General features: G+C 36.5%; 2 long non-coding RNA genes across 4 annotated transcripts in view; one reads left to right on the top strand and one right to left on the bottom strand.

Moving 5' to 3' along the window:
* SOX2-OT (SOX2 overlapping transcript) overlaps positions 1 to 24,468 on the bottom strand; it is a 685,549-nt gene that overhangs the window by 299,399 nt on the left and 361,682 nt on the right. The gene's annotated exons all lie outside the window — the stretch shown is intronic.
* Positions 344 to 21,667, top strand: LOC102724604 (uncharacterized). Its single transcript, NR_125407.1, has 5 exons — positions 344 to 456; positions 2,796 to 2,853; positions 4,131 to 4,232; positions 20,914 to 21,102; positions 21,370 to 21,667. It is a non-coding gene; the product is annotated as an uncharacterized LOC102724604 (long non-coding RNA).

Raw genomic sequence — 24,468 nt, 5'->3', positions numbered from 1 at the left:
CATATACAATATTCCTTAAACACTGTATAAAGTGAATTTGCTTCTCCTAAAAGTACAGTCTATTAATAATAGTATCCTGAGAAATTAAACAAATGCAAGTAATAAAAAATATTGCTTTCCCTGCCCCCCCACCCTTCATTTGTACCTTCTACCCAGACTATTATGCAGAAATTGATCAAGGCTGATTTGGAAACTGGAGCGTCAACTTTCTCAGTTTTCATCGTAAAGAGCAGAAAACCTCTTAGTAATGAACATTTCCACAAGGGGCTTTTGTTTTCAGATTGATTTGCTCATTGGACAAAGTATCCTAGGGAAATGTGCCCCTGCGAAGTTGGTGGTGATTGTGGTGGTGGAGCTAATGACATGTGTGCAGAAACTCTTCTGAATGGGACTTCCCTGATCCTGTTTTTACCTGATCTTCATGCTCAATAGAAAAAGCCTCAGCTTTGGAATCAGGTGGGTTTTGAAAATGCATAGAAGAAATTGTTTTTTTGTTGTTCAGGGGACTGCTAATCTTGTTGAACCTTAAGTCTTACGAAGGATGTAATTTTCTTAAGTCAGCATTTTGAAAGCTGTTTGCTATTCGAAAGCTGTTTGTCTAGCTTTCAAACTGTCCCTTAATAGCCATCATGGCCTTGACTCACAGCTCTACCAGTTTCTCTGGGTAGGTCACTCAGCCTTTTTGGGGGGCGGACATGGAGGCTCTTCTAAGGGGTGATTTTCAACCCAGTAGCAAGTGTCCTCCTCACTGGGGATCTCACACTCTGGGTCATCCACTTATGGAAGTATCTTGAACTCACTTGCCTCAAGACTGAATTAAAGGTAGCATAAGGCTGACTACAATGGGGAAAAGTACACGGGTTTGGCTGTGTGTCTTGTCAGATGATTAGAAGTGCCAAAAACACATAAATGGTTTGTCTCTGGCCATAACTTCAAAGCTGATGGAGCTCTCACAGCAGCCGTGGAAAATGGATAAGAAAAGACTGCAGATGTCCACAGATGACTCAGGAATATTGCAGGCTAATCTCCCCTCCTCCTCATTCAGCAGCAGCCTTTGTCTCTTTAACTTTATACCTTGGCTGCCTTTCTACCTTTAGCTCCATTTGGAAAATGACCCCATCTGGGCTGTTTACTCTGGTTCTCACCTATCATTTTCTGAGGACCCCGTTTCTAGTATTTCCCCTGGTGGGCAACATAGTACGGCTGTAGGCAGTAAGTCCCCAGTCCAGCTCAGGATTCTGGGACTACCCTCCAACCCAACCCAAGCCTCATTTGTCAGAGATGGGGGACGGAAATGGTTGTCAGAGGTTATGGGACTGGGAACCTGTTATTCAGGACCTGGATTAGGGTGAGGTGGGTGAGGCTGAGTCTTCCAAGTCATGGGTCAATTCCTGTCTGTTTTACGTGTATGTATACATTGATATTGTTGCCTTAAGTGCATTTAGTTTTTGACCACTAGAATAGATAAATATGTGCAGTCACTCCACTTCTAGTCTCTATTTCCTAAAATTTCTAAGAAATCCATGGTTTATGTTTTCCCCACTACATGTGTAATCACATCTTTCCACTTTGGTCGATTGACTTCCTACCTTCCTTCTTTCCTTCCTTTCCTATCTCTTTCTTTCTTTCTTTCTTTCTTTCTTTCTTTCTTTCTTTCTTTCTTTCTTTCTTTCTTTCTTTCTTTCCTTTCTTTCTTTCTTTTTCTTTCTTTCTTTCTCTTTCTCTTTCTTTCTTCCTTTTTTCTTTCTTTCTTCTTTCTTTTTCTTTCTCTCTCTCTCTCTGTCTTTTCTTTTTTTCTTTTTTTACTTTACGTTCTGGGATACATGTGCAGAACGTGCAGGTTTCTAACATAGGTATACGTGTGCCAGGGTGGTTTGCTGCACCTATCAACCTGTCATCTAGGTTTTAAGCCCCACGTGCATTAGGTATTTGTCCTAATGCTCTCCCTCCCCTTGACCCCCATCCCCCGACAGGCCCTGGTGTGTGATGTTCCCCTCCCTGTGTCCATGTGTTCTCATTGTTCAACTCCCACTTATGAGTGAGAACATGTGGTATTTGGTTTTCTGTTCCTGTGTTAGTTTGCTGAGAATGATGGCTCCCAGCTTCATCCATGTCCCTGCAAAGGACACGAACTCATTCTTTTTTATGGCTGAATAGTATTCCATGGTGTATATGTGCCACATTTTCTTTATCCAGTCTGTCATTGACGGGCACTTGGGTTGGTCCCAAGTCTTTGCTATTGCAAATAGTGCTTCAATAAGCTTACGTGTGCATGTATGTTTATAGTAAAATGATTTATAATCCTTTGGGTATATACCCAGTAATGGGATTGCCAGGTCAAATGGTATTTCTAGTTCTAGATCCCTGAGGAATAGCCACACTGTCTTCCACAACGGTTGAACTAATTTACACTCCCACCAACAGTGTAAAAGCATTCGTATTTCTCTACATCCTCTCCAGCATCAGTTGTTTCCTGACTTTTTAATAATCACCATTCTAACTGGCAGGAGATGGTGTCTTATTATGGTTTTGATTTGCATTTCTCTAATGCTTTGGTCGATTTTCTAGGCACTAAAGAACAAGCCACTTTTCTACTGCAAATGATAGTATCTGTGCTATAAATAGCAAACAGCTTTTAAAATGCTAACTTACTTTAAGGTAGTTACATCATTCATAAGACTTAACATATTTTAATATAATTTTAGGTTTTGGAAATTCATATGAGAATTTTTTTTGGTCATTCACATGATTTTCCCTTAATTTAAATAATTTCAAACCCAACTTTGAACTTGCAGCTTCCCAGTGAACACCGAGAGTTGAGTTTAGCAACTGTTTGGACTGGCCATGTAACAGGTAAGATGACACACCCAGGGCATCTGGTGCCCTAATACATCAGGCACATACTAGGCTCAAAGCATATTGATGACACGAATGACTCCCTCCCTTTTCCCCAGTACCAGGTTCTTCCCTCTATGTATCTTGGATGGTCTAATCAGTGTGCAGTGATACCGTTAACTCAGGAAAGTTGTATTAACCACTGGACCAACCAACTATTTTCCTGTTACATTGATATTAATCAACCAAAAAGGCTAGCCTTTCTAAAGCATGCAAACAGGCAAACAGAAACGCCAGTTTCAATGTTTATATCTTAGTCCATCTGGACTGGAAAGAATTAGAGAGCTGAAAAAAAAATCAAAGAGAGAAAATTAAATAAACTACCAAAGAGAAATTCATGATGTTCCCTCCCACAAATGAGTTTATTAGCATAAATATATTGATGAGGTCCAAGACGCAACTTGTAAGACATTTTAAGTTACACAGGTATCATCAGTTAACAGGCAATATTTACTATCTAGTGTTGTGATCCTGTTGACATCCAGAGTCGAATTAGACCTCTATCAAACCCCTAATCACCAGTGCATTCCCAGCACACACAATCTAAATGATTAAAGAAGGTAACGATTTCTCCAAAATAACCACAAAATGCCCAAAGTATTTAATTCACTCTATCTCACACCTCTTGCTATTCTAATTATCATTGCTTTTGGAGTTAAGTTACCCATAATTTTCTTTTAGAATTACAAATGGTATACTTTGCTTTTCCTTAGCTTATCATGTCATAGAACTCTGTTATTAACTACATTTTGGAAAAATCCCTTAGAAGATTTAATAAGAAATTTTAAAACCCTAGTGGATTTTCTACTGCTGCAAACTCTCTGCATCCCCTAAATAAAGAAGCCCATAATTGATTAATAAAAAGCTAAGTAATTTTGGTATTAATATGATCCCCTGGGAGGCCCCCATAATCACAAGTAGCAGGCCAGTCGCAGCATTGCTCAATTACATTTCCCAGTAAATAATCTGCAAATCAACAAACCCTATAAGGGGATTTTCAGCATTTCCAATTTGTTAATCCATGATAAATGCCTCTCAAAGGTCAGACAAAGCCCAGTCGCTTTCATATTTTGAGGCTCCTCATTTGTTAAAAAAGCTTTAAAAGAGAGTTATCAAAATTGTTTTATATTTAAAATGATTACACCTAACACACTAGTGCTATAAATATATACCCACAATATAATGCTATATGACTATCTATATAAAAATATAGTTATACAATTTTCAATTTGCAGGGCCGTCCAGGTAGCATGGCATGGTACTGGAACACTATGTCTTCTCTCTGACCTCTCGGAATATCTCTGTGATTCAATGTGTTGGCCCATTGGAGGCCCTGGGTGAGTATGATGCCTGGGCCAGAGGCCCACTGTCTTCTTCCTTTCCCACTGAGCTTAGTTGTATTTAGCACCGGTGGCACAAAATTAAAAGACCCAATCTCTGCTCCCCTTGAGTTGCTCTTGTTAAAAAAAATTTATAATCCTCTTTAATTACCTAGAGGAACACAACTCAGTGCTTAGACCATTCATACCTTCAAAAGTGCTCTTTTCTAAATCACACTTTTTTCTGTTAAATCAAAGTTCTCTTAGTGATTCTGCCTTTTAGAATTTTTAAAGTTTATTTTCACTCTCTATAACCCCACTTTTTTTGTTGTTAAGGAGCACTAATTTCTTTGAATTTCTTCAGTCAGACATGGGCTGTTTTTATCCTCTGAAATACTAAAATTGTCACATTCAGTGCTTCAAGCAAAATTCAGTAAAGAGAAATAATGTAATTTGCACAATATTTTAAATGAAGAAATACATATTATTGATTTAATCACAGGTAATGTATAAAGCTCTCCTGTAAAGAAATATCACCACTTGCCTATCTCTTTACTAGATTTTGTAGAAGATACAAAGTATAACAAATGAGCATTCATGTAATATTTTTAATATAAGAAGAGCTCTTATAAATCAATAAGAAAAAAATTAACATGGCAAAAGGAAAAATGAACCAAGGGCAAGAATAGGAAATTTCTAAAGAATAATTATAAGTGATCAATAATTACATGAAAGGAGTTTGTCTTCAGTAGTAATCAGCAGAATACATATTCAAACAATAACAAGATACGATTTTCATCCATCAATATCGATTTAAAAATGATAGTAGTGATGATGAGGGAACTGGGAAATGAGTATTCCTCTGTACTTCTGGTGAGAACATAAGTTGATAGTATCTTTCTTGAGAGCAATTTTGCAATATGAATTAGAAGCCTTAACATTTCATACTTTTAACATAGTAATTTTACTCTTAGGAATTTATCTTAAGGAAAGTCCTTATCCTAAGAATGTACAGAGGTATGGGGATATTTATGACAACCTTTTCATAATAGCAGGAGCTGAAAACAACCACAATGTCTGATAATAAGTTGACTAGTTTAGTATGATATAATACACCCAAATGATGAAAACCATGTTCCATTAAAAATGATGTTGAAAGAATATTTAATGGCATAAATATTTTCTAAATGTGTCAAGGTAAAAAATATAGGTAAAGACCACTAAATATTTTGCCATTTAACATTCTCCTTAATATAATTTGTAATGGTGACACCGTACTCATTCTACATTATAGATGCCCCATGACTAACATAACTTCTTTCCTATTGTGTGACATCTATGTTTTGTGATGAACATCCTGGAACATAGCCTTTTTACACATGTATGTGATGACCACTGGTTTATTCCTAACAGTTGGATTACAGGGTGAAAGGATAAAAATATTAATAAGAAATTGCATAGATATTATCAACATTTGCACACTATTTTATAAAAAGATGGACAACTCCTGGGCTTCCCCACAGTACCTGTTACCCACATTTTTGCTTAGGGAAAAAGAGGTAATATATTGTTTTTATTTATATTTACTTTATTATGGGCAAGGATAATCATATATATTATCATATTTTCATGTATTTTTTAACTATACTTTGTCTGTAAATTGCCTATTTGTTTTCTTTGTCTGAAATTTATTGGGATATTGAGCTTTTCCTTATGACTTTGAAATTGGTTTATATATTAGGAATTTTAGCCATTTACCCATCATAAAATTAAAATATTTCCCCTAGTTATTTTTTTCTGGTAAATATACATAATATAAAATTTGCCATATTCACCATTTTTAATTTATTTTTAATTTACAAATAATAATTGTGTATATTTATGGGTACAGTGTGATGTTTTGATTTATATATACATTGTAGAAATATTCAATCAAGCTAATTAATATATTTATCACCTCACTAACTTATTATAGTCACCATTTTTAAGTGTACAGCTCAGTGGCATTAATTACATTCATGATGTATTGTGTAACCATCACCATTATCTATTTTCAAAACTTTTTCATCACTCAGAACAGTAACTCTGTACCCATTAAACAATGAGTTTTCATTTTCTCCTCTCCCTAGTCCCTGGTAACTTCTAATTTACCTTCCACCTCGATGAATTTGCCTATTTTCAATATTTCACATCCCTGTACTCATATAATATTTGTCCTTTTGTGTTTATTTAATTTAGCATAACATTTTAAAGATTCATTCATGTTCCAGCATGTATCAAAACGTTATTCCTGTTTATGGCTGAATAATATTCCATTACATGTATATACCACATTTTATTTATTCATTCATCTCTTGATGGATACTTGGATTGTACACCTTTTGACTATTGTGAATATTGCTGCTATCAACTTCTGCATACAAGTACCCGTATAAGTCCCTGTTTTCAGTTATTTCGGGTAAGTACCTAGGAGTGGAATTGCTGGGTTATATGGTAATTCTATGTTTAGCTTTTTAAGGAACTGCCAAACTTCTATTACTCTTTAAGCCTTGTAAAATGCCACTAGCATCTAAAAGCAGAGACTTTTCTGTGTCTTTAGTATGATTTGCAGGATCATACTGTTCTTTTTAAAACAGAAAGATCTCAAATGGAAATTAGAAAAGTCTCCTCAGTGTCTTTACTGAAATATTTGCTGAGTAGATTATAACTCTAAGTCACAATGAGATTGGTTTGCTGCTACTGCGGGCCTAAATATAGGTTCTATCGTTGGAATCAAATGACCTTTGGAGCCTAAATAATCCTTAGAAACCACTGCCAACTTACTTATTTAGACCAAACCATATTTTATCTCATGGCAAACTAAACAGGGACGCTTCATTTTACTTTTGGTACTATAACACAGGCCTTGGTATTTAGTGATCATGGTATATATGTAAATGAGCCAACACAGATCTGTTTGAATTTAGTTCTTAAAGGCATTTATTTATTTATTTGCATTTGAGGATACTTTTCAAAAGTTTCTTTTCTTGACTGCCCCAAAACTTTGACATAAAAAAGGTGAACCTATTTTTTACTCAATCAACTTTTGTGTGTCAATTGTTAATGTGGATTTGATGTGTTAAGAAAGTTTAAGTTAAAAAGAAATTTAGATCTATAACCTTACTACAGTGATTTCTTCACCTTAATAAAATCTAAGATTTTTTTTTTTAATTCTGAAGCTGTCAATGTACTGGATTTATTCTGTCAACGTATCAAATGGTGGAGCTTTTGGGATGAAAGATCAAATGAGAAATTGATGTCTTACTAAAATGCTGAACGTTAAGTGACCTTTGGGATGATGAGAATTATTTTGGCTCAGTAGTATGTATATAAAGCCCAGGAAACCCAAATAACAGCAGAAGAAACAGGGAGAGAAGAAGTAGTTTGGGTCAGTGATATTGTATCTGTTTCTTTAGTGGTGTAATGAAAAGAGCACCTGATATGGCTTTAGAAGACCTGCATAAGTTTGAATTCTGGTTCCAATCACTACTTGTGAGACCTTAGGCAAGTCATTTTACTTTTCTGAGCTTAAGCTTCTGTTTTGTAAAACAGAGATTTAAAAAATCCCTAACACAGTTGTTGAAAACGTCAAAGTGCTTTTAATACTAAAAAGACCTATACCAGTGGTTCTCAAGTGAGGGTGATTTTTCATACCTGGTAATGTCTGGAGATTTTTAGTTGTTACAACCAGGATCAGGTAGAGTACCGGAATCTATTGGGTAAAGCCAGAGATGGTGTTGAACATTCCACGATACACAGACCAGCCCCTCACAACAAAGACTTATCTGGTCTAAAAAATCAGTAGTTCTGAGGCTGACCTACCAATGCCTTTGGCTTCACTGTTGCATTCTCTGTTAACTGTTCAGAGTCTAATTAAGAGCTCTCTTCCTCAAGCAAACCTTGAGTAATGCAATCACAATAACTGCTTCTCTAAGTGCCTGGCTTTTTCTGGAGTGATAAACTCTAGAAAAATCACTTTTCTCTAACCAACATGTACCAATCACTTGTCTGTAAAGGAAGACTAGTAACTACTCCTTGACATGCTAAACTCATGACACCTGACTTCTCAACTGTATCACCTAAGAGCTCTATTTCACATGAAATGGTGAAGAGATGTAGGTACAATTGTGAGCAACCACCAATAGAATGAATAGGAGAACATTTTAGAAACTCATAGAAGTGGAACAGCTATTTGACTAGGCTGTTTGACTTAACAATATAGTTTTGTTTTTTCTATGTCTAAGTTTCCCCCTTTGAAAAATGGGACTTAGCAAGGGCAGTCACAGTCATAAAAGAAGATGGAAGCTCTCTGATACCAGTTCTAACCAATGCTGTTGCTATCAAGGGGACATCACGTTACCCTTTCCTGTCCAGGTGAAGAAGCATGAAGGAAAATGAGAACACATGTTTTGTCACATAACCTGAACATGTGACATCATTGCACATTTTCATAAAACAGAAAATACACCATTTCCAAATTAATACTGAAAAGTCCAGTTACTTTAATCAAAAGTAAAACAGTAATTTAATGTGAAAAAACCCTATTTATACTAACTGTGTGACTCGGACTGTGTCTAAACATATAAACCAGTCTGGCTGGTTAAACCCGCCAAGAAGTTGATGAATAGAAGTCATTGGAGGAGATGATGCCCTTTTAGTCTTTTAGAGATAAAACTTTAACCTAACTTTAAGTGAATCTCAAAATTAGGTATTTCTCTAAAAGTTTTACAGGCAATTGTGAACGTTCAATTAATAAAAAGAGAAATGCCTTTATTTGCTTAGTGTACAGGGATATGAAAAACAAGGAAAGGTGCACATGCTATTCAATAGACATATGATTAAATCCAGATAATTTAGTCAGAAATCCTATTTGAAGAGAAAGCTATTTATCCAAATGAAATCATCCCCTGTATTTGGTTGACGCAGAAAGTGTCTTAATTTTCCCTTACATATGAAAGAGGTAGATCTTGATGCTCAAACACATACAAAATGTAAGCATTTTTACAGATTGTTATCAGATAAGGACTTGGAGCACATCTTTAAAGGCTCTTGGGAAGCAACTGAACTTGGATCATTCTTAGCTAACTTATCTAACACACTTCAAATACTTTAAAATAAAACTAATCCCTGCACTGGTGGGTTGAAAACTTTTCCTATCCCCAGGGCATTAAAATAATACCCTTTCGAACAGTAGGTGGAAGTATTTTAGGCGGCAGCTCTCTAGTTATAACAAGGTAAGTCAATTTTTATGAATTAGGGATGCTAATCACAGTATCTCAAGATGTGCATTGCTGGGGAGTGAAAGACAAGACCACAAACTGACATGACCGCAATGGGCTACAATCCCGAGAAAGAGATATAAACGGGAGGGAGACTTGGCTTCATCCATCATAAAGGTCAAGATAATTGGCCACATACAGCAAAATCAACATCCCTTGCTGTCCCCTAGCTTAGCACATAAGCCTAGAAACTCAGCATCCTGCTGGGCTAAGTGGTGGCAAGCCCAGGTGGAGGAGGAGAAGGTCTGAAAATATGCATGTAAGAATCTAAGGCACTGTAATGATACCATCAAATTTAGCATTAAATATACTTTACAATCAACTGAGATACTGTAGGTTGCCCTCAAACATGCAAGAAATGCTTCTGGGGTTTTACCAGACTGCATACTCTCTCATGCTTATGCTGCTCTAGTGTTTTTGGACTGTAAAACCTCTCAACATTATAGATGTACTTGTGTTAACCAATGAAACTATAATAAATACATTTTATGGTTTAATGCAATTACTAAAATATGACTGTATAAGAATTCAACTTCTCTTAAACATTCCAATTAATCTCATAACCCAAAGCTAAGGTAAGCATTGACAAAAATAAAGGTGTCAGAAAATTCGCATAACAGTGAAATAACTGAGTGATGAAAAGTTGCCAAGTAGATTGAGTTTGCATATCTAGTAGGAGCCTATTGCAGAAATTATCAAAGGCATATATGTATTTAAAAATGTGAAGTCCATGATGGCAAAGTTTGTATCAACACACAATGATACGTAGGGCTAACTTCATGGGTGTGTAATCTGTGCAGCTGCATAGGTCCCATATTTGCTGTTTTGTTGTTGCCATCTTGAAACTCTTAGTAATTTTTTAATAAACAAAGATACCTGCATTTGCATTTTGCCCAGTAACCCACAAATTATGTAGCCAATCATAATTGTTATGAACAAATTAATCCCCACAGAAGTCCGCCTGTCTTAGACTTTTTGGTAAGGCTTCTCATAAGAAATGTCGTCATCAAGGGAGAACTTAAACGGAACAGGAGGTAGCTTCAATGAGCAGGGAAAGCATTTCGGGAAAGCTAAAAATGTAAAAGACAAAAAACAGTTATAGATTTTGAAGAAATAATTGAGTCTTTCCACTCCCAGGAAGTTGAGTTAAAATCTTAATGTAGAAAAGCAGCTCTTTGATTGCTAACCAGAAGTCGCTAGGGAGAAAAAAATCCAATGTCTGAACCATAGGATATTGAGAAGCAAATTAATTTGAGTTCTTTTCTGAAGTTCATTTAAAAGGACTAACTGGAACCGTTTCAAAGAAAACAGTTAAAGGGCTGCTTACGTATGCTCAAGTTGGTCCTAATTAGCACTCAGAGTAGGTTTGTCATAGTGTTCCCGAGAGTAAGTAGAAGCACAAAACTATGCTCAAGTACTAGCAGTGATTTAAAAGTATGTCAGTGGGTGGGAGTGGATAAGATTATTTACTTTATAAAATGGAAGAGCTAAGCATGGAGAAAGCACTTGCAAGAGAAAAAGTGGGCATTTTTGAGGAAAGTGAAGAAATAACTAAAAACAGTACAAAAAAAGAGTATTATAGCATACAAAATGCTCAAAGGAGTTAGTGAGGACTTACTACATGGGCACTAATAAGCACTAATAAGCTGTCCAGGATTTGAGGTCTAAGGCTATTAGTGTATTAAAAGTTCTCACACTTGTTCACAATAGGTTATATCCGAGCAATCCTCCTTCTAGGAAGATAAATTGTCCTCAGATGCAGAACAATAACTAATGTATGTATAGTGCATCATAATTTACATATATGATCCTTACATAAAAGATGTATTATGCTTATAATATCCCTGTAATGTGCATAGCATAATGCCACTTGACAGATGAAATAATGAGGCTCAGAAAATGGAAGTGAATTTTCTAAGAACACAAGACAGGAGGTAATAGTCATCTGATTCCTAGACCTGTGCTTTTCCCACCATAAATGTGAATAACATGTAATAAGTTCAAACGTTAAAACATCATCAACGACAATAATAACGGCCACAGGGCCTCTTCTGAGCCCTGCTCACCTACCTTCCTTCCTTCCTTCCTCCCTTCTTCCTTTCCTTCCTTTTTTTCTTCCTTCTTTCCATTATTTCTTCTTCTCACCCACCTATTCAACATCCATCCATCCATCCACCTATTCATATATCCATGCATTATGCAATCTTCTAGCTGAATTCTAGTTTCAAAAAAATTAGAAGTGAACCCCCAAGTTTTTTCTACAACTGCCCTTCTTAAAACAGTACTTCTTAGAAATGCCCCCTTGCAATGTGTCCATTCATCAGATTGATCCTTTTTCCTTATGTTTACCAGAGGATGGCAATTGGGGTAACTGAGTATGTGACAAAAGTGGCTCTCATGTGACTTTCAATAGGTATAACTGGTGTATCAGTGAGGCTGGTAGGCAACTGACACTAAAATTGTTCAGTAAAAGAAAGTCGTATTTTGTAGCCATTTGCCTCTGCCCTTGCCCTTTCCTCCTCTGGTCTCTATTCCATCTCTTATTTGCTCTAATGAAACTTAACTTTTAATTGAGATGCTAAGAACTTCCAAAGACCTTATATTTTAACAAGGAATTTTACAAAGGAAAAATAAAAGGAGAACGCCTACGGCAAAAAGGCGGAATCCTAAGAAAGGGGGACCAGCATTTTGGGTGGCCGAGACAGGGGGATCACTTGAGGTCGGGAGTTCGAGACCAGCCTGACCAACATGGAGAAACCCCATCTCTACTAAAAATACAAAATTAGCCGGGCATGGTGGCACATGCATGTAATCCCAGCTACTCGGGAGGTTGAGGCAGGAGAATCACTTGAACCCGGGAGTTGGAGGTTGCGGTGAGCCGAGGTCACGCCATTGTACTCCAGCCTGGGCAACAAGAACAGGAACTTCACCTAAAAAAAAAAAAAAGAAAAAAGAAAGAAAGAAAGAAAGGGGGAAAGTACTAGGGATTTCCCTATGAGAGAATTTATTTTTATATATACATATATAAAAAATAAGTTCTAGGGTACATGTGTACAAAGTGCAGGTTTGTTACATATGTATACATGTGCCATGTTGGTGTGCTGCACCCATTAACTCATCATTTACATTAGGTATATCTCTTAATGCTATCCCTCCCCCCTCCCCCCACCCCATGACAGGCACCAGTGTGTGATGTTCCCCTTCCTGTGTCCAAGTGTTCTCTGTTCAAATCCCATCTATGAGTGAGAACATGCGGCGTTTGGTTTTTTGTTCTACTCCAGTAGGGAAATACAGGAATACTGAAGAATTTTACTCTCCATTCCTATTTTGGGCTTTCCAAGAATCTAGATTTACTACCAGTCTTCTCATCTCTTCACTTCCAGCACTGATAACAGAATGACTAAACAAAGCCTTGGTATCCTACATTAGACTTTAATGACTGCTCTAAACTGGAATGCAGTTGTCCCTTGGTATTTATGGGGGGTTTGTTTCAGGACCCCCATCAGATACCAAAATCCATGGGTAATCATGTCCGTTGTATACAATGGCATAGTATTTGCATAGAGTCTATGCATATCCTGCTGTATACTTTAAATCATCTCTAAATTATTTATAATACCTAATACAATGTATATGCTACGTAAATGGTTGTTCTACTGTATTTTTTAAATTTTGTATTTTTTATTGTTCTATTATATATATAATTTAAGATATTTTCAGTCTGGCTGGTTGAATTAATGAATGCAGAACCAATGGACATGGAGGGCCAAGAACACTTGGCTGAGGTCAGAAGTGTGATACTAAGAGTTGCTGTCAACATCTGCATAAAAAACAATATTCTCCCTTCCTACACTGATTTTTGATTGAAAATTTACATGAGAAATTTAGACAAGAAGACAAGAAATTCAATTTTTTTCATCTCCTACTTTCTCATCAACCCACTACATTCTGGTTTTTGACCCAATCACTGAAATCAGCCTTACCAAGGTCACTAACAATCTTGTTTCTGAAGCTATTAATCACTCCTTCCTGCTTGGAATACTTTTGTCCTTTGACTTTCTTGACACTCTGTTTCTGATTGTCCACTTCTCTCCTTGGCTACCCATCTCCTTTGCAGACTTTTCTTCCTTTGTCTGTCCCATATAGGTTGGCATTCCCCAGGGGTTTCTCCTGGCCTTTGATCTCTTTCTCTTTATACTCTCCCCCTGGTGTCCTCACACATTATCACTGTTTCAGTTACTTTCTACAGGCTGACAATTCCAAGAATTCCATCTGAGTCTGATTTTTTTTTTTACCTGAGCTTCAGACTTGTAGATATATACCTGCTGCATGGTTTGAATGTGTCTGCCCCCTCCAAATCTCATGTTGAAATGTGACCTCTAATATTGGAGGTGGGGCCCAGTGGAGGTATTGAATCATAGGAACACATCCTAATGAATGGCTTTGTGTCATCCCCTTGGTAATGAATGAGTTGTCACTCTGAGTTCATGCAAAATCTGGTTGTTCAAAGAGTGTGGCACTTCCCCCCTCACTCTCTTGCCATGTGACATTTCCTGCTCTCCTTTTGCCTTTCACCATGATTGTACACTTCCTGAGACCCTCACCAGAAGCAGATGCTGGAGCCATGCTTACATAGCCTGCAGAACCAGGAACCAATGAAAACTCTTTCCTTCATAAATTACCCAGTATCAGGTATTCCTTTATAGCAATGCACAACGGTCTAACACACCTGCCAAGTGGAAATTGATACTAGTTTATCCGAAACATCTCTCAATACAACATGCCTAAATCTGAACTGTTCTCCCCAAACTATTCAATCTCCTCTCTTCCCTGATCAAATGAATGGGAACACTACCAAGCCAGAAACTTGGGCTCTGCTGCCCACCCCCCTACCCGAGTCTATTGCCAAATCTTGTAAACGCTATGTTCTAAATCTCCCTCCAGTCATATGCTTCCTTCCATCCCTACTGCTAAAGTTTTGGTTCAGACCACTCTCATCTCTTACCTAGATTACAGCGTCACTGTCTTTTACCAAGCTTCTCTGCCTCTTGTCCTATTTACTCCATCATCCACATGACAGCCACTATGATGGTTCTTAGGTGTAAATCTGATCATGCTTTTTTCAGCTGTTCACTGGTTCTCCAATGTGCTCATGAGGCTCTGGATAATTTCACTTCTGCTCACTTCCCCAGCCTAATCTCTCTGACTGACCCTGATCCTAATAGTTCAGCCATTCAGCCACATTGAATTTTTCTTGCACATTCTTCTCTTTGCCATTCTCCCAGACATTGACATTCTAGTCCTTTTTTGTAAAAAGAAAGTTTATTCCCTGAATAAGTCTTTGTTTCTCTTTCTCTATCCATTTAGACAGTACTTCCTCCTGGAAGTCTTTCTGACTTCCTCCCTCAGTGCCTCATCTCAGGCGTAGGCATCTTTTCTCTGTGCCTGAATAGTCCCCATATTGCCAAGACATGTCACCTTGAAATGCAGTTGTGTATTTACTAGTCTACAGCCCCACCAGACACTGCTATATGAGGAAAAAGATTTGCCTATTACAGTTCACCATTGTGTCTTGATTAGTTAATGGAGAGCCTGCAACAAAGTAGGTACTTACCAAATAGTTGTTGAAGGAATAAATAAGCTTGGTGGTTAAACCTATTTTTTAAAGATTTATATTGTAAAGTTAAATTTTTTAGTGGAATGTACTCAGTAAAAGTAGACCAACAAACAAACCCTCTGATTCAGTCAACTTTGGTTCTAAGGAACACTCACTCTCAAGCCTGAAGATTTGTATTTATTGATCATAAATTAAAAACAGTGCTAATGTGGTTTGTGATATCTTCCTGAGAATTCTAATTACAGGTCAATAGGCCCATTAGAAACCATCAGGAGTGTTGAGACCATCCTGGCTAACATGGTGAAACCCTGTCTTTACTCAAAATACAAAAAATTAGTTGGGTGAGGTGGCGGGCACCTGTAGTCCCAGCTACTCGGGAGGCTGAGGCAGGAGAATGGCGTGAACCTGGGAGGTGGAGCTTGCAGTGAGCCGAGATCGAGCCACTGCACTCCAGCCTGGGTGTCACAGCGAGACTCCGTCTCAAAAAAAAAAAAAAAAAAAAGGAAAAAAAGAAACCATCAGGAGTGAGTAGTGCAGAAAAAGGCACAGAGGGGACCAAGCATTCCATAGGGCCATGCATGGCTGAAGCTTCTATTTCTATGAATATGTTTTGGCTTCCTTAATCCCTCACCACCAATTTCACCATTGTGTCTTCACTTTTATAGCAGATTTACGATGTCATGTAGACTCAGCCTCTTCTCTTCGTAACATCCTGCTCAAACCTCCTGTATCCTAACACCGGAGCTTAAAATGTAGTTCAGCTTTATGATAGGTGGAGTGGCAGGGTCTTGGGTATGTTCAACTTGAGATTGCTGAGGATTGTGCTGTCTAATTTGGGTGGTGCTAGCCATATGGAACTATGGTGAACTTGAAATACGACTAGTGGGACAGAGAAACTGAGTTTATTAATTTAAATTTAAATTTAAGAACTAGATTTAATGTAAAAACTTCTAAATATCTTTGAAATAACTTGGATGTGTGTTCATTTGTTCAACTGTAAATTTTATGTAATCGAAACCAACTCTTCCTAATCAAAACTCAGCTCCCAAATTGAGATGTGCTAAAAGTATAGAATATATGCCATATTTTGAAGCCTTAGTAAGAAAAAAAAAAGTATAATACCTTATTAAATTGTTTATGTTGGGTACATGTTAAAATGTTACTATTCTTGGATATACAGGGTTAAAGAAAGTATATTATCAAAATTAATGGTATCTGTTTCTTTTTACCTTTTTTAATGCCACTACTAAAATATTTTAAGTTACACATGTGGCTCTCACATTTCTTTTGGATTACATTGGCTTAAGGGCCAGGCAGGACCTAAGGTGAACTAGGGGCCTTTAACCCTTCCTGCTTTATCACTTTGGAAAATTAACAAGACTAAAATTATTTACAACTCTACAACATTAGCTAACATTTATTGAATACCTACTAAGTGCCAGACACTGCTCTAAATTCTTTACAGGCAAACAATTTTCATAACAACTCTTTGATGGTATGATTTTTATTCTCATTTTAAAGATGAAGAAATGAGGCATAGAGTTGAAGAAGTTTGTAATTGGTAGAGCCAGGATTTAAACCCAGATATATCTGATTTAGTAGTATTCACAACCAGTGAAACAGAAAAATTATATTTGAAATATGCTACTTAGTACAAGAAACTGGGGTGGTACTTTTGTGAGCTCTACTTAAGGAGTCATTAATGCATTATACAACATTTATGGTCACTGAATGAGTGAGTCTGCTGGTTGATCTACCTAATACCAAAAAATAATGAAGCTTGCTCTTCATATGCACGAATAAATACAGAGCTCTGTTTGTCAGGTATTGTTAAAATCTGACAAACACTAAGTGAACTCATGGAGCTATTTTAAATAATAATCAGGATTATTTGTTTGTTGCAAACACAAAATGCCAAGAAATCCTAACTTCCTTGTGGATGAAGTGAAATTAATTTTCTTTACAATCAACTTGTCCGCAAAATATTTTACACTAACATGCTTTTAGTATCTGTATATTTGAATGTACTTCCTCTCATTCATAAATTCATTCATTCATCTTGAATTATTAACTGAGTGTCAATATGTTGTAAGGACTGGGTAGGAAATTGTCATACGAACAATCTAAGAAGGGAATTTGTGCCTGGAGAAAAAGATAGTGTAAATGGGGATTTATGGTTCTATATACCCAGTCTTCCTGTGAATTATACAAAGTTTTTAACTGTATTGTTACAAATTTTTAAAGGCTGCATTTGTAAAATATGTCGTTTTTATTTTCTTAAAGTTTATGTTTGGATGACATTAATACTCAAAACACACATTCTCAGTATTGGTTGGACATTTTAAAATTGGCATAACAGAGGATTCAACACTCGGTCTCAGCTGTTCTGGAAACAAGGCAGCTGCTGAGTGAAAACGGATGCCAGGAAGAACCATGCTGAGGATAAAGCAAGGACATTGTGGGAAGCACAACTTTATAATAACTTGAGGCATTCCATCTAATGACATTATAATTTAGCTCTCACTTATCAGGTAGTGCACCAGACAGCTCCAACTATCATTTGTCTAGCATCCATTAAGTATTGTCTTCCTTATAATAGTTAGCTTTGTGTGTTGGACAATAATGAGGTGAGGGGAACCATCAAAGGCATATGAGAAATAAACCTTAATGACAACAAACAATTTGTCAGACATTCTTTTCCTCCAGCTTTAACATTTGGGTGCCATATAGTGAATTAAATGATCTAACCCATCTCATTCATCACTTGAACCACAGAACAAATGGTTAAAGTCAAGCTTCTCTGGAAGATTACCTGACAGGTGATATATGAAGCCATCGAGGAATTGTATGATGAAGGGACATTAAAGATGACAACTGATGTGTCAGGCTTCTAGGCCAGTTACTTTCATTTTGTAACAGGAGCACATACATTCCTGGCTAAATGGTGCAGGCTAACTTAACTAAGTTTGACTTGATATAGACTGTGGACTTATATCCACAGTTTTAAGGGACGACAGCACAAATACGTAGAACATAATTACTGATGTCACTTTCTGTAACATTTATTCATTTCATGAATGCTTACTGAGTATTAACTTTAGGTCAGCACTATTCAAGGGGCAAGATTTTTCTTTTGGAGACTGAGAAAGTTAATAGGTCCTGTTCTGGATCACTAAGCAAGGAAGCAGCAGACCAGGGGCTCAGGCAGAGTTCTTCTGACTACAAGTTTGGTAATGAGAATGGCGGAGCATGCTGCTTCTCAGCACCCAGTGATAAGTAGTAACTTCCATAATACTTCCACCACCTCCTCCCACAGTGAAAGCTGCTCCAGCATAGCAAGACCTGGCTGAATTTGTCTACGTAGATAGAGAATTTGACATAAAGTAACCTGAATCTGAGCTGTAAATCTGACGTTTAATTCTCTTTCAAGTTGAAGAAAGAACAGAGAAGGCAGAGTAGATGGGTAAATTGCTTTGGGCATTTTACAAAAGTGAAGATTCCAAGCTTTGATTTTCTAGGTTCAATTCTGCAGATTAAACTAACTTAGTGCTACTATTAGACTCATTGGGTTGCTTGCCTGTCTTCCTTCCTCTTTCCCTTCCTTCCTTCCTTCCTTTCCTTTCCTTCTTTCCTTTCTTCCCTCCCTCCCTTCTTTCCTTTCTCTTTCTTTCTTTCCTTCCTTCCTTCCTTCTCTTTCCTTGGTTTTGAAATGGAATGTCCCTCCATCACCCATGCTGGAGTTCAGTGGTGCCATTTTGGCTCACTGCAACCTCTGCCTCCTGGGTTCAAGTGATTCTCCTGCCTCAGCCTCCTGAGTAGCTTGGATTACAGGTGTGCACTACCACACCCAGCTAACTTCTGTATTTTTAGTAGAGAGAGGGTTTCACCGTGTTGGCCAGGCTGGTTTCAAACTCCTGACCTCAAGTGATTCGCCCACCTCGGCCTCCAAAGTGCTGGGATTACAGGCATGAGCCACCATGCCCAGATGCTTTTGTATTTAAATATTTGCTTCCAGATTTGGGGATATACAAAGAGCCTATGTGATGCCAAGGAATAAGTATCTTCCTGCAAAGGAGCAAAGCTCAAGACCTAAAGTAGACCAAGTAGACAATAAAAAGGTGGAGGGAAATGAGTGTTTCATTAATATCTACTGGTTTAGATTTTGTGCTAGTCCCTTTTACATAATTTTATCTACCACAAAAATTCTATGGAGTTTTATTTTCTTCATTTTACTAAAGAAAAAACTGAGGTTTAGTAAGTTTAACTAATTTGCCCTAAGTCACCAGCTAGTAAGTGGTAGAGCTGAGGGTAAAACACAAATTCACTTAAAATCAAAGCTTATTTCACACAGCACACTGCCTCATGCCTACGATTTGTCTCTAAGTTTGCTACCTCATCAATTACCTTGCAGGTAGATGGAAACAGAGCTTCTTATCTCTCACTCAAGCCCTTCTCTTCCTGGGTTTTTTGTTTTTTTTTTTTTCTAATCACAATGAGGTTGTGGCTGTTGGTCTCTCAAGCTAACACTCTTGGAATAATGTTTAACTCTTTACATCCTTTAGTTGAAAATACTTCCCAGTCCTTCCTATGTGCTACGTTTCATATGAAGAGAACCCCCTTCTTTTTAGACTGGCTTTAGGGTACGCAGATCTAACTAATCATAATTTTAAAAAGATTATTTAGAAGTTATCTTATATACAGAGATTACCAACTTTTAAAGGATTAGAACACTATTAAATGTACTCTGTTCTATAAGTGTAGTTTATACCATGTAATCTTTCATATCTGTTTGCTGAAATGCTGGCCACCATTTAAGGATACCTCACCTGCCATTTCTTCTGAAAGGTTTTCCTTGATTTTGCTGTAGATCTTTAGGTCCTCCCTTCTCTTATGGCACATGTCACTGTATTCATATTTGCAGAACATGAACTAGATGCCAGACACACTATGGTGAGTGAAATATCATCATTGTCCTCATGAAGCTTAAAATCTTGCAAGGAGGAGAGACACTAACCCCATAACCATACAACTAGTAAAGGCATAATTCCAGTGATAACCGTCATGAAAGAAAAAACCCCAGCTATTATGCATTGTGTGGAGAAAAATAAAAATGCAATAAGTGATTATGCATTTTTTTCTGTTTATATTACTCTAGGTAATGTATTCCCCTCTCTAACCCAACATATTTCTCATACTTAACTATGATATGCAAAGAACCCAACTTGCAAAAGGAAAATTTATCTTTCTTAAAAGTTTACTATGCTTCTATATTGGTGAAGCAAAGATGTTTGGGGAAAAAAACCTGTAAAAAATGCTGATTTCATTGAGACCATGAAACCTCTCTGATCCTCAGGCCGAGAAATCACTTAAGGATCTACAGTTTAAATGAATTCTCAAATAATAGAATGTTAAATTGAGGAAAATCCTTAGAATTTATGAATCCATAAGGTTCTGACTTTCAGCTTTTACAAGGCAGTACAACTTTTATGGGGGAAGATGGAGGGTTGCCAGGTTTTAATTTTGCCATGTGATGTTGTTGCATAAAACCCATCATCCATTTGCCCGTGATTTCATAAATGAGAAGACATTTGAAAAGCAAAAACAAAAAAAAGGTAGAAAAACATAATCTTAGTATAAAGAACAGCCTTTCTTAAGGAAGGACTGGTATAACTTTATAGCAATATAGATCTAGCTACAAATATAAAACAGATTAAAATGTTAAAGCTACATAAATATTGTCTTTATTTTCCTCATTTCATCTTAGACTGGTTAAAACCTGGAGGTTTGAGAAACCCCTGATCTTCTCCATACTCTTCACAAGGGCAATGGCTGGCCAAGATTACAAATTAGTGACTGTTGAGGCTGGAATCTGTACCGAGGTCATGGGAACCCCCTGCACTGCCCCTTCTAATCACCCTCCTGCTTGGACCCTGGGAGTATGACAAAGAGTCAGGTAGGAGGAAGGTGAATTCTGCCGCACATGTAGGATGAGTGTGACTCTGGGGCCAGGGAGATAGGTAGAGGGAATGGAATAAAAATGGGAGAAATATTCTGAGGAAAGATGGATATATTTTTGGTTACTGTTCTCCTCTTTCTACCCCTTTCCCCTCCCCACATCAACAATGTATAGGAAAAAGGATTGTGCAAACTATTCACAACAGTAAATCCATCAATCAAGTAAAGCTTGACCACAATTCTATTTATCTTCTCCTTTTTACAGATAAGACAACTGAGGCTGAAGATCACACAACCAGTAAATGGAACAGCCAGAAATCAAATGTTATATATTGGCCCTGAAGTGGGGATAAAGCAGCTAAAAGAAAGTGTACTTTACATTAAATTTTAAGGTATCCAAAAGCAAATCAATAAGCCATACTCTAGTTACATTAAGATATTTTCACAAGTGCTAGGTTAAGTAATATAAAATTACCATTTTTGTAGGTCAAAAGTAATGGAATATCATGCTTGTATATGGTTTGATCTAATATATATCATTATCAGGTTCTACTAATACAGAGTTTTCTGCCTTTACTTAACCATCACAATAAACTAAGGACTTCCAAGCTAGTAAGAATAATGACACAGATAATAATTAGAAAAGTATTCATAACATTATCAACAAACACTTCTACCATTTTTTGAACAACTACTTCTATGTATATTTTCACTGTAGTAAAAAATCCCTAACAAAAAATTTATCATCTTAATCATTTTAAGTGTACAGTTCAGTAGTGCTAAGTATATTTACATTACTGTGAAACAGATCTCTAGAACATTTTATCTTGCAAATTTGAAACTCTGTACTCCTTAAACAAGAAGAACCCCATGAGAGACCATGTGGCTGGTGGTGTCAGATTATAGGCTTTTTCAAGAGAAGTCAATCTGGAATTTTGTGTAAAATTTTCCAAGCTTTAATGTTAGCTTTAAAATAGCTTTATCGAGATATAATTCAAATGCCATAAATCTATCCATTTAAAGTGTACATTTTAACAGTTTTTAATCACCCCCAAAGGAGACCTTGTACCATTAAGCAGTCACTCCTCATTCCCCCCTCCTCCCAGATGCTAGTAACCACCATTCTGTTTCCTGTTGCTATGAATTGACTACTTAAGTGCCAGTAGCCTATCATTTTTGAGTATGTAAATCTGCAAGGTGCATTACACACTTTAATCCTAACAAAACTACAAATTAAGTGCTATTATTCTTACTTTATAGTCTAGAAAATGAAAAAGTTTTAGTAGATACAAAGTTACATCTGAAAGTAATTAATTGCTACGTATTTTCATATCTGTTATATTCAAGTTAGATATGAATGAGAATAATTTCTTCTATAGAAAAGATTTTTCATATATTGGATTATTGTTAAGTAGTAGTGGTGTTGGTGGATTCCCAAACATCCAAATAATGGAGTTCAATAAATACTGGTTGAATGACTAAGTGAATGGTGTGATAGAATACCTTCTTAAATAAAAGAGGCCCAAGACAATATGAAGGAGAAATAGAAGAAGAAATTGAAGGAGAATATGCAAAAGCTCATGGTAACACTCTCCAGGTAGAGAAAGTTTTTGCCTGGTTCTTCTATCAGCAGCACAAAATTACAGAGACCACATACTATGAGCCACACTGTATTAAAAAAATAGATACACTTCTTGTATAAACACAAGATATCCAAAGAAATTGGAAGAAAAAAGGACTTAATTGTAAGAAAAACAACATTCTATTCTGGAATACTACTGACAAATTTAATTGAATCCTGGAGGAAATAGGATATTTTAAAATAGGTTAAAATGTTAAATAGAACATTAAGTAGTGGATTATAGTTAGCACATAAACAAGTAAGAGAAACTGAGTATGGAAGAATAAGTGAAGCTCTTGTCAGCACTTACAAAAGGATGGACAATCGCTGGTTAGAGAAAAACACAAGCTTTGTGCTCACACTTCAACTTTTTTTTTTTTTAACAAAAAGACAAAGTTGGAGAAAACAGTTGTACTAGAGACTTGATCATTCATAATATGAATGAAACAGAGTTGAAGTAATGAGTGGCAAATATTTGTATGAAAGAGCATCCTTATTTTTATATTATCCAAATGGGATTTACTTTGAAATTAAGGTCTCCTTTTACTTTCTAAATTTAAAGAAAAATTACATAATAATCTTCCTTGAATAAATAAATGTAATAAAAAGTGAACTTATGAAAAGGATGGTTGCATATAAAATATATATTTATATTTACATCCCTACACTAGTAAGATGACTTTTAAAAAATAAATAAATACAATAACTTTAGATTTCTAAAGAATAACAAAAATTACATGCATTTTCATCTATAAATAAACACCTTTCTTGCCACTTTTCTTTTTACATTAAAACTCCCCCGACAAAAAACTTTTCTTCCAATGCACAAAACTTTTCAGAAACTTAATATATCTAGGTTCCAATATACCTAGTTTTTTAAAAGATATTTTGCTTAAACTGAAGTTTGAAAGCAACTGGATTTTTGCTATGTGGTATCTGTGGAAATGCAAATGTCCAAATCTGATTTCAATGAGCTTTGACCTTCTGAGATTTGTCAGCCACCCAGATGTCAAATCTTTCTTTTTCCTTTTTGAAAAAGAAATTTATTCAATTCAATTCGATGCAAATTATTCTGTCATCTTTCAAGGACAAAAGACTGAACGAATTATGGATCTTAATTTTGACCTATCCAAATTACTTTTAACTACCCAAACTAATGTCCTAGAAAACATGGAGAACCACAGAATTTCTGTGCTTGGTGAACTGTTGAAGATAATCGAATCAATTCCCTTTTTTTTTTCACAGAGAAAGAAGCTAGATGGCTTCCCTAGATGTGACATAGTCAGAATTGTAGGCAAAATCCAGACACAGCTTTCTACTAACAACCTAAGGCCCAAATTGTTAACTTACTCATGCTCTTGTCCAGATCCTAGACAATACAAGGTCCCAACTGAATAAATTCAATGGCACTATTTTTTGAGAAAGAAAATGCCAGAATATTGATGTGAAATAACAGTGATTTCTATACCTTAAAACATCATCATACATAAAAGGGGACTGCCAGCCTCTCTGTGTTGACACAGTGGTAAGAGCACTGGAGTGCTTCATCCCAAACTTAAAGCTGGCTGAATCATTTAATTTCTCTGCATCTCAGTCTGCAAAATGGCAATAATATACCTTCCACGTAGCTGAGAAGATAGAACCAGATAAGTGGTGTAAAGGGACTCTAAGAAGACAACACTGCATGACACAGGCCCAGCCATAATTTATGCACAGACCTGCTTTGGTAGGTATGCCCTACTT

This window comes from Homo sapiens, chromosome 3, assembly GCF_000001405.40.
Source record: "Homo sapiens chromosome 3, GRCh38.p14 Primary Assembly".
Taxonomy (NCBI): Eukaryota; Metazoa; Chordata; class Mammalia; order Primates; family Hominidae; genus Homo; species Homo sapiens.
This window is presented reverse-complemented; position numbering and strand designations above follow the sequence as displayed.